The sequence below is a fragment of the Homo sapiens genome, chromosome 2 (assembly GCF_000001405.40).
Source record: "Homo sapiens chromosome 2, GRCh38.p14 Primary Assembly".
Taxonomy (NCBI): domain Eukaryota; kingdom Metazoa; phylum Chordata; class Mammalia; order Primates; family Hominidae; genus Homo; species Homo sapiens.
This window is the reverse complement of record NC_000002.12, coordinates 189,333,819-189,345,863: the sequence shown is the minus strand read 5'-3', so window position 1 is coordinate 189,345,863 and position 12,045 is coordinate 189,333,819. Positions and strand designations below refer to the sequence as shown.

The following is a 12,045-nucleotide window of genomic DNA, read 5'->3' as shown; positions in this document are numbered from 1 at the left end:
ATTTTGACTGTCTTAGATCTGTCACTATTCTCTCCTTCTATTCATGGGAGTGCTTGCATAAATTGGGCTACATTAACTATCTTATTTTCTCAAGTCTTCCCTATTTAACCTCTACAATCTGGTTCTTGCCCCTTCTCTATTTGAACAACCAGTGGGTTCACCAGTAACCTCCATATTGCCAAATCCAATAAATATTTTTATGATTTTGACTTGACCCACTTCTATGGCAATTAATACTGTTTGATCAGTCCTTCCTTCCTGAAAATTCTCCCTTTTTTTCCTGAGATACTTATCTAATAAGTTATCCTCCTTTTCCTCCTACTGCTATTTCTCATATCCCTTAGGTAGAATCTTAAATATCAGTGGTCTTCAGAGCTCTGCTCCTGGTCTTGTGACCTTCTTGCTATATTTTCTCCCCCACATGATCCTATTTTAGCCCACCTTCAGGCCTTCTGCTACTATTTATGTTCTGAAGACTCCTAAATCCATATCTTCAGCCTAGACCACTTCCATGAACTCCAGATCTTTATGTCCAGCTGCCTGCTGGAAAGCTGCTGCATCCACATATATCTTGCTTGACTTATACCAAGGTGAAACTGGCCCAATTGTTCCATAGAACTGATGTTGGAAATTAACCCTCTCAGTCTTAAAACTTGAGGAGCTACATTTGTCTTATCTTATACATCTAAAATTGTAAGACCAATAATCAGGCCTCTCAAATAATATAGGGGAACTGAATCATAGCCTCTCACCTGTCGTGATTGACTAACTGACCTCCTGCTACCTGTTGACCAACTCCTCTTTCTTACCCCTCCCTAATTCCTTTTGCAGCACATGCATAAAGCCTTTTTCCAGGCAATACTCCTCTTAGAAAATTGGCTTTTTGTGTGATGAGTAGCGGGACCTAGTCTGAACCTCTGGTGTTTCAGTAACACATTTTGGTTCCTTGACCAGGCATACATTGCTTGTGGCTTGGCTGCTACAGGCCAAAAGGGTTTCAGAAGCCCTCCTAAGCAGCTACCTGCCCATTTTTGGCTGGAGGTGAGTCTTGGTCTCTCTTTCTTTGGTCCCACTAATGCCAGCCCCAACTACATTCCTGATTGCCTAGGAAGAGTAGCCTTTGATATTTGACATCTGCGTCTGGATAGGTTAGTGTCTTTTGTGGGTACCAGACAGGGGGATGTGCTCTTCTCAATTTGGGGAATTCCAAAAGAATTTCCATTTGCAGGATGAACAAGCCCAACCGATGGAGAGAGGAAGCATCCTGACTGTTTCAGTTTAGATATTCTTGGGACTTGCTTGTTGCTGCAGCAGGTGGATTGTGCTTTGGTGATTGTTTGTTTATGTGTGTGTGTCAGTATACTTCCCAATATTCTTTGGTGTCTGGAGCGGTTTGGCATCTCCATAAGCCTCATTGCTATTGAACAGGAAAGTGGGATGGAGTTCTGTGTATCCAGGCTTTTATGCTGCTATTCTAAGCAGGTTCAGGTCTGTAAGTACATGAGGTTCTTCTGTGATGCTGTTTGACCCGAGAGTTTTTTGAAGTCTGGGAAGGTTTGGCCTTTAAAACTCAAACTGCCATGGAAACTGTTTCGTCCAACATTCTGGTTCATATCCTTCATTGGATTACCTCTTGGGGCAAAGTTTAGCCATGTAAACATGTTCATAAAACAATGAGTTTTTATTGCTATCTCATGGCTGGAGTTCTGAGATAAAAGCTATTGGATCTTTGTTTATGTGTGTGTATACACATTTCAATGTGTTTATGTGTATGTACATTTATTATGTTATATGTTGTGTCTACTAAATTGGCTTATAAATAGTGGTCGTAAATTAAGTAAATAAGTCCAAGCAATTTTCAAGTTCACATGATTTAAGTAATTCTTTAATAAACAAGCTGGCTTTAAAATTATTAAGATAGAAATAGAAATGTCTTTGGAGTTGTCAGCATACATTTTTGTCTACGTTTTATATTTGTCTCTTCTATATATTTTGAGGTGTCAGGGTTTGGCACAGAAGGTTATAAAACTATAAACCCAGCCAAAACACAAGTAACCTTTGTGTGACTTTTTGGACAAATTTAATGTTGTTAGTTTAATAAAGACAGTTGAATCTTCTGAGTTATTAGCAAAAATACCCATGGATTTAAGGTTCTTACTTAGATGAACACCTGATATTCTCAGGTTATGAAATGGTTAACGAGGAGCTAACCACTAGCTTTGTCTAATGTCTCAGTTTTCAGAAGTAATCCAGATAAACTTTAAAAAATTAAAGAATTGAGTACATGTAAATAGGATAAATGCTTGTAGGTGAACTTTTTGTGTAATTTAAAATCTTAATTATTTTGATGATGAGTCATCCAAATTATTTTGGATGTCTGGTCATTTTCATTTAAAAAAGGTTTTGATATAGACAAAAGTATTTTTAAAAACTGTAGAATGTTCTCAAATATAAAATACTAATATCTGATAGTTCAGGATTTCTTACTTCCTAGTGATTTTCACTAAAATTTAAGGTTACTAAGAATAAGAACTGTAGTTAACATATAATTCTGTATATAAAATGTGCCAGAGAATTTCTGTCCTTATGAAAAAAGAATAATTTTGTCTAATTCAGAATTTATCTAAAGGTTGATTCAAATTATGGACTATGGTAAATTTTTGTCCTAAAATAAAATGACTGTTTTTTTTAACACGAGAGAATTTAAGACCAAGCAGAAAATTCAAGCATGTCATACATTGTCTGTGTAAGTCATATGTAGTTTTTCTCCTGTTTCTGTGTATGTCTGTCTTCAGGCACATACAGAGAAAATAGAAAGATGAAAAAGTAAAAACCTGATAGGAAATTGGAGAAATTAGGCTAATTAACATTGCTCATAGTTAAAGCTTCTTAGTCTTGATAAAGGTAAGATAAGAAATATTGTAAAGAAATACATTGGCATTTTGGCAAATCTTTTTTTAAATATAGTTAAGCATGAAGCTAGATTTAGCAGGGAGTCAATTTTCACATAAATGCTTCTGTTGGTTGATTTCACACTGTGTTTGCTATTCTGCATTGGTGGTACTAGCACTAAAGTCCTTACTTGCCAAGTGCCTAAAGTAAATTTCTCAAATACACAAAATGTATAGTGGTATTGGTGGACGTAAAGACATTAATTTGTGTATCAAAAACAACATATTTATTGTGTGTGTGTGTGTGTGTGTGTGTGTGTGTGTGTGTGTGTTTTAGCTCTCTGTAACACTGTAGCCTCTAAGGTAAACTGAATAGAAAAAAATTTGGGGTTGGTTTTTTGTTTGTTTTTGCTTTCATTTTTCATTTATTTGCTATTTGTACTTTTTTGGGTTTATATATATGTATATATACATATATATTATATGCATATATAAATAAATAGAAGCATAAATATATAAGCATATCTATACATATATATGTAAAACCCAAAGGAGAACAGATAGCAAATAAATATATAACAAATAGCAAATAAATAAATATATAAATTATATATATAAAATTATTGGTATTTTTAGTTTCTAACAGAAGGCTTGTATTTGGTTCTATATATATAGTAGTCATTTTGTTTCCTGTGCATTTCTAACAGTTCATCATTTGTTCTATTTATCTAAAATTCCTAAGCTACCTTTGTCAAGTCTCCAAAAAAAAAAAAAAGAGCACACTAGCCATTTAAAACTGAATTGGTTTTGCTTACCTATAATGATCTAGAGAGCTTTAAGAGTTTAAGTTTTCTGGCCAAAATTAAAAGACTTGACTTATTTTTATAAATTCTAAACAGAAATAGTACATTATTTTGTTATTTAAGAAAGTAGCTGAGAATAAAATTGTTTAAATGGTGCTTATTTCAGGTAGTTCAGTTCAATCAATAATTTGAGTTAGTTTCAGATCTTTTTCTTTAGATAATACGGAAAGACTGTGATACGGATACAAAGTTTTAATGTTTAGGAAAGATTGGCCTTGTTCTTAAGGAAATTATATTAACAAATTTCACTCAAATTATTTTAGTTGTGTTTAGTAACATTATTAAAATCAAGTGATACTCACTTTGATTAAGTAGTAATTAAAAATATGAGACTTTCTAGTGATTTTTAATCTCAAGGTTTTTATCACTGTTAGTGTGTGTAGTTGAAAACAAAAACAAAATATGTATAAGTGATGTCCTGGTTTGATGATTCTAGTGGTGAATGTCACCTAATCACTTGTTAGTGCTGCACTAGAAACCAGCCCTGGAAGTGATGATACTCTTTTAAATAGCTGAAAACAAATTATTGTGTGCTTGTTCTTAGTTTGTCCCTGTTTTGTTATATAGTATTTAAGTGGAAGGAGATTATTTATCTTCATACTGAATTTCCAAAACTGATATTTGCTTTTACCATTTTTTTAATGATGGAAAAAATGATAACTGTTGCACATTGATAAGTTTGTCACAGGACTTGTCATATTTTTGATGCTTTTGGTCACAATTGCGTCACTAGAATGCCAGCAATTAGACATATGGAAGTAGTAACCTAACCACTTTAATACAGTGGTTTGAAGTGCAGCAGGTGGCAACTACTAGACACCAAATGACAGTGTTTTAATTTGTGACATGTTAGAGTCATGTTAGTGACTCTACATGTTAGTCACTCTACATGACATCTAGAGTCATGTTAGAATTATGGGACTTTCTGCAGTATTAGTAAACTGAACCACAAATTTCTAGATGTTCTTATATATGTCTGTAAACATTTCATTAAGCTTTGGCTTCTGTTCTTATCTTAAATGCATATACTATACTTGATCATCTATATTGAAGATAGAAACTTATTTTACACCAAAGTAGTCTATCTGCATATTATAGGTAGAGTGCTCGTATATTGTAACTTTATTTTTATATTGTTTTGGAAGTCTTTTTAACTTTGGTTAAATGAATAATTATTATTTTACAATGACCTGTAATTCTGTTTTGATCAAATGTTTTGAGGCTTTAAACGTCTTTGGAAAACATCCTATTAATTAATCCTTGTGCTGCTAAGTTACCAGGTTTTGACTCCTGGGTCTGCAAATGGCACTGACACCTGCTAAACCTTGAACACTGACATCAGTCAAAACCTCAACTTCAGAAACCCAGGAGAGGTGACAATCAAAATGAGCTGCTTTTGTGAGACACAGGGCCAGAAATGAAAACTATTCAATCCCCTTAGGCCCAGGGACTATTGTGGAAAAGGTGGATGTGTGAGATTTTGAGTACTAAAATTAGTTATATATTTTATTTTGTGATGGGTTTATGTGCCCTTATGTAGACCTTAAAAAGAGCTCACCATTCTAGGCCAAGGTTGAAGACACAACGTGGTTTGGGAGCCTAGGGAGCTGGGCCTCCCAGGCCAGAGTGTGGCCTCTTAATGGCAAAGGAGATTCCTTGGAGTTGTAAACAATACTGTAACCTTACTTTTTGTCTTTTAGTTTTTAAGTCTTAAGTTGCTTAAATAGTTTTAAAGATTATGAGTATCTGCCCACCTCCAATCCCATCTTTCCTAGGACATTTAATTTGCTATAAGTCTTGACTCTAATTCCCTTGGCCATAGAGGTCCCACTGAGGAACAGGGTGAACCTGGGGCATGTAGCACACTACTCCAGCAATGGTATGGGACAAAAAGTCCTAAGCCCCCCACTGACTGAATGGAGCCACTTGTGGCCAAGGGGAACCCAGTTGTCAAGAGACCAGTCTTACCTGGGAAAAGGTCTTGCCCCTTACCCTGCTGATGGTCTACAGAGCCCCAGAAGTGGGTTGACTCTTAGCCTTATCCCATGACACCCCTTCTCAGCATGAAGCAGTCAGAAAGACTGATGGCCAGATTCCCCATGATTGGGGAATTCATAAATAGAAAGAAGGGGCTAAAACTGGCCCAGTTGTCCCATAGAACTGATGTTTATGGTTTCTTTTGAATAAACATGGACATTGATCCTCTCAGTCTTAAAACCTGAGAAACTTATATTTGTCTTATCTGAGTTCCTTTCTCAGAAAAATCAACCATCAGGCCTCCCAAATAGTTCCAAGGAACTGAAAGTTAGGAAATTACTGCATCTGGACAATGAGATGTCAGACCCCACACCTGTCGTGATTGCCTAACTGACCACCTGCTTCCTGCTGACCAACTCTTTTTCCTTACCCCTCTCTAATTCCTATTTTCCCACACATAGTTACATTTCTTTCCTGCTGTAAAACCCCCTAATTTTAGTTGGTTGAGGAGATGAATTTGAGACTGATCTTCCATCTCCTCAGCTGCAGCATCTGAATAAAGCCTTCTTCCTTGGCTCAGTGATTGGCTTTCTGTGTGGTGAGCAGCAGGACCTAGCCTGAATCCCTGGTATTTTGATAAGAGATGCTGCTATGCACAAATGTAAATCCAGAGTTGGATGATCTGAGCATCAAGTGAAGCTGGAAATCTCTATTTGTAGGCTCAGTTTTCCAATTTTTAAACAGTTAGCAAATTGAAACAAATCTTTTTTTTTTTTTTTTTTGAGACAGAGTCTTACTCTGTTGTATAGGCTGGAGTGCAGTGGCGCAGTCTCAGCTCACTGTAACCTCCGCTTCCAAGGTTCAAGCAATTGTCATGCCTCAGCCTCCTGAGTAGCTGGGATTACAGGCGCATGCCTCCACACCCAGCTAATTTTTTGTATTTTTGTAGAGACGAGATTTCGCCATGTTGGCCAGGCTGCTCTCAAATTCCTGGCTTCAGGTGGTCCACCCACCTTGGCCTCCCAAATTGCTGAGATTATAGGTGTGAGCCACTGTGCCCGCCTGAAAAAATCTAAAATGCTGTGTAAGTCACACTAAACATGTGTCTAGGCTAGATCTATTTTGCCACATCTATGCAGAGTCTGATTCACAACAGAATCAAAGGAGGTATGGGTGTGAACCTGGGAGAGCAAATTTTTTTTAAAGATAGCAAGTTTGAGGGAATAGCCAAGAGTCAACGAGAAATGGAAGATTGGGCTTGGTAGTAGAGCAGCAGCAGCAATGAGTCACTTAAGGAGTCAGGAGAGATCAGTCTTCCTTCTATTAACATGCAAATTAAATGAAAGAACGGCTTTTACTGGGATAATGTTAACATATTTTATTTTATAATATAAAATTTAAATTTTATATTATAAAATATATTTATAATATAAAATAATAATTTTTATTTTAAAATATAAAAACATTTTATAATATTATACCTTCTCTCATATCCATATCTTTATAGTTATTATCAGAAAAAGCCACACATGACCTTATGTAAATGATGGCAACTGTTAAGAACCAGGTATTTTATTATTTGGGGACTTGGGGAGAAAAGAACCTGAAGAATGGGGGAGCTGGCTAGGAACGGAGAAGAGGCCTTGGGGGAATGAAGACTACTAACCTGTAGGTGGAGTGGAGTGGAGCTGGTTGAGGGTGGGGAGAAATGTAGCTCATGAGTGGTATTTAATACTTAGAAGCAAACAAGAGAGCTGGGGTTAGACAAAAGTGGAGATTAGCCAGGAATCAAGTCCTGGTGGGATGGGAGGTGACTTGGCAGTGTTGGTCAAAGTAGAAGCCAAGGTGGGATATTGAACTGGGTGGCAAAGGTGAGAGCCAGAGCTATGGAATACAGAGCCAGGGATCTGGAGGCAGTTTGGAAGGATATGCAAGGGGGACTATGCCAAGAATAGGTACCCCCTGGTTTGGGAATTTTCGAATGAGAAAGTTGCTACGTTTGTAATATATATTATGTAACATAGTAATTTTTCTTAGGCTGTACTTTTAGTCAATGTTGAATTAAGAGTTAAACAAATTTAAAATCTGCAATTTTGTTTAAAAAAATTAAAACAACCAAACATATCATCTTTCCAACAAATGTTTTTTAAACAGATCTTTCAGCCAAGTTGCTTAAGAACAACAGTTGACTAGAACTGCACGTCTTCCTTCAAACACTGTCTACTGCAGAATGCAAACAGGAACCTCTGGGAATATCTGTGAGTCATAAAATGTTGCAGGGAACTTTCCAAAACCATTTTTTTTTTTTTTTTGCTAGGATGGAGAGTTCTAATCTCATATTGGCAGGATCTGTTGGCTGCAAGGTACACTGTTTACTTTGATTTCTTCTCAGCTGTTCTGCATGATCTTGGATCATCAAGTTTTTGATATATTAGAGCAGAAGAGTTGCATAATATTGCAAGATTGTAACCCCTTCTGTTCTTCTATTCTCTTAAAATAGATAAAAATCATGATTCTAATCTATGCTTCCTCCATGAGTATATTTAATTCACTTGTCTTTGAAGGAAGTGGTTTGGATTAATCCCACAATTCTAAAAGTTTATAGTACTGGTAATTGAAAACTTTTTTTTATTTAATTAAAAAATGATGTCGGCCGGGCGCGGTGGCTCACGCCTGTAATCCCAGCACTTTGGGAGGCCGAGGCGGGCGGATCACGAGGTCAGGAGATCGAGACCATCCGGGCTAAAACGGTGAAACCCCGTCTCTACTAAAAATACAAAAAATTAGCCGGGCGTAGTGGCGGGCGCCTGTAGTCCCAGCTACTTGGGAGGCTGAGGCAGGAGAATGGCGTGAACCCGGGAGGCGGAGCTTGCAGTGAGCCGAGATCCCGCCACTGCACTCCAGCCTGGGCGACAGAGCGAGACTCCGTCTCAAAAAAAAAAAAAGAAAAAAAAAAATGATGTCAAAAAACACTTCATAATGCTGCTAGAAAGGAGTATTAATGAATGTGTATGCTTGTGTGCACTGGGGTCATTTAATCCAGTTTAAATATTAGTGCTTGTATTGAGCAAAATATGTACACAAAGGCATATCTTACAAACATGGTATTAATGTAAAGAATGAATAAAAAAGTAGGCCAGAAAAAAATAGTTCCTAAGACTTTGGCCATAAACTCAACCTGAATCTAAACTCTTTGATATTTAGTGGAGTCTGGATAACTTCTGAATTGATTTATTGTTTAGGTTTTTACGTTTTTTTATGTTTATTTAATGTTTAAAGGAGTAGTGTACTTAGAATGTGAAAGGTCTTAAGTTTACAATTCCAAAGATTTTGACTATTGTGCAAACCTGTACAGTCACCACTCAAACCAATACATAACAGTTCCATCACCCAGAATGCTCCCTGTGTTCCTTCCTAGTTGCTTTACCATTACTCTCCTCCAAACACCAGAGACAACATGGATTAGTTTTGCATGTCTTGGACTTCATATACATTGATTCATACAGTATCTGTTCTTTTGGGTTTGGCTTCTTGAGTCAAAATATATGTAAGATTCATCCATATTTTTGCATGGATCAGTTTTTCATTTTTTAAATTGTAATTGAGCAATTTCCTGTTATATGAATGTATCACCATTTTCCTTTCTCTTGATGATGAACATTTCTGTTATTTCCAGTTTGGGCTATTGTAAATAAGAGCACTAAGATACTCTTGTAAAAGCCATTTTATGGACGTAATGTTTTTATATTCCTTGGGTAAATTCCTGGCAGTGGGATTGCTGCATCACAGAACCCTATGTTAAATTGCCAGTGTTTCACAGTGGTTGTACCATTTGACAATCTCAACAGCAATGTATGAAGGTTCCATTTGTTCCACATCCTTGCCATTACTTGGTATTATTTATCTTTTTTATTTCAACTACTCTAGTGAGATTAAAATTTTATCACATTGTGGCTTTATTTGCATTTCTCTGCTTAAGAATTATGTTGAGGAACTTTTTATGTGTTTATTGGCCTTTCCATGTCTTTCTTTATGAGGTGTCTCTTCAATTCTTCTACCCATTTTTAATTTTTTGTCTTTGTATTGTTTATTTTTAGGAATTCTTTCTATATTGTAAAAGATCTTTGTCAGATAAATGTTCTTAACATATTCTCCCAGTCTGTGTCTTGTCTATTCATTTTCTTAATGATTTCCTTTTTAGAAAAATTGAAATGTAATTCACATCCCATCAAATTCACTCTTTAAAGTGAGCAATTCAGTGTTTTTTAGTATATTCACAAAGTTGTGCAACCATCACCACTATGTAATTCTAAACATTTTCATCACATCTCAGATATACCCCATATCTATTAGCACTCACTCCTCATTCTCCTTTTCCCCCAGACCCTGGCAGCTGGTAATTTACTTAAAAAAATCATGCAGAATTGCCTATTCTGGACAGCTCATATAAATGGAATAATACAATCTGTGGCCTTTTGTAGGTGGCTTATTTCATTTAGCATGATTTATGGCTGGATAATATTTCACTGTATGGATATACTACATTTAAAATTCATTCATCAATTGATAGGCATTTGGGTTGTTTCCATTTTTGTCTACTACAACCAATACTGTTATAAATATCAATGTTCAGGTTTGGGGTAACCTTAAGTTTTCCATTCTCTCAAGTATATTTCTAAGAATGGAATTGCTGGGCTATATGACAGCTCTGTTTTTCACTTTTTTTGAGGAACTGCTTAAATGTTTTCCAACTGCACCATTTTACATTCCCACCAGCAATTGTGTGAGGTTTCCAATTTCTCAATATCTTTGCCAATATTTGTTGTTGTCTGCTTTAAAAAATCTGTTGATTGTGGTTTGTGATTTGCATTTCCCTGATGACAAATGATTTTTTGATTATTGTGATGATAGTGTTAACTTTTGTTCTTTAATGGCTTCTGTTTTATGTTTTGTTCAACAACTGTTTGACTACCCTCAAGGTCGTGAAGATGTTCTCTTACTTTTTTCTTCTAGAAGCTTTATGATTCTAGCTTTTACAATTAGATCAATGATCAGTAATGAGTTAATTTTTTTTACATGTAATGTGAAGTAACTGCCAAGGATTTTTTTAAATATGGATAGAGAGTACTAATATGATTTTTAGAGTAGGTTATAATTTCCCCTATTAAATTATCTTGACACCTTTTCAAAAAACCAGTTGATCATCTGTATGTTGTCTATTTCTGAAATCTCTATTCTGCTCTATTGGTAGGTATATATATTGTTATGTCAACATCACATGATAGTTGTAGCTTTATAGTAAGCCTTGAAATCAGGTAATGCAAGCCCTTAAACATTTTTTTTGTTCTCTTTTAACATTGCTTTGGCTTTTCTAATACTTTGTCGTTCAATACAAATTTTAGAAACTGCTTGTATTTTGTCCAAGACACCTGCTTACGTTTAACTGAGACTGCATTAAACCTATCTATCAATTTGGGGAGAAAGGAGATCTTACAAATTTTAGTCTTCCAATTTTATGAAATAGTATATCTTCACATTTACTTAGATCTTTAATTACTTTGAGCAATTATTTTTATTTTTTTAATAAAGATCTTGAAATTTGGTTAGATTTAGTCTTTCGCATGTAATTTTTAAAATGCCATTGTAAATGGTAGTATATTTAAACCACAATTTCTAATTGTTGGTAATATTTTAAAAGAGTTAATTTTTGGATACTGATTGTGTACTCTGAGACCTTGCTAATTCACTTTTTATTTTTTGTTGATTTCTGGAAACTCCCTAGAGTTTTATTCATATACCATAATGTTATCAGCAGATAATGATGGTTTCACTTTCTTTCCAATATTTTGGCTATTTTTCTTTTTCTTGATTTTTTGTACTGGCTAGGACATAGCATCATGAAGTAATGAGGGAAGACACCCTACCTTGTTCCCAGTTTTAGGGTGACAGCCTTCAGCGTTTTACTATTATATAGGATGTGAGTTCTTAAAAATAAATGCCTTTTATTATATTTAAACAATTCCTATCTATTCCTAATTTGCTAAGAATTTTGAATTATGACTGGGTGTTTAATATTGTTAAATATAGTTTAAAAAATCTATTGAGATTACTGTATTATATCTTAATTTTTATGCTGAGATACATTGTATCAGTATATCAATTAAATATATTGAGATGACTGCATTATATCTTTTTTTTTTTTGCAGTCTTCCTTTCATTACCAGTAGTATGCTGTATCAGTTTCTAGGAAAGCCATAACAAAGTCCTACAGACTGAGTGGCTTAAACAATGGAAATTTATATTCTTTTAATTCT

At 35.2% G+C, this 12,045-nt stretch overlaps 1 protein-coding gene across 3 annotated transcripts in view; it reads left to right on the top strand.

Moving 5' to 3' along the window:
• COL5A2 (collagen type V alpha 2 chain) overlaps nucleotides 1-12,045 on the top strand; it is a 409,214-nt gene that overhangs the window by 95,248 nt on the left and 301,921 nt on the right. For 2 of the 3 annotated variants that reach the window (XM_047443252.1, XM_011510573.4), the window contains one exon: nucleotides 7,886-7,989. The exons of the other annotated variant lie outside the window; for it this stretch is intronic. The gene's annotated coding sequence lies outside the window, so the exon portion shown is untranslated. The remainder of the gene's footprint in view (nucleotides 1-7,885; nucleotides 7,990-12,045) is intronic. 3 annotated transcript variants of the gene reach the window in all.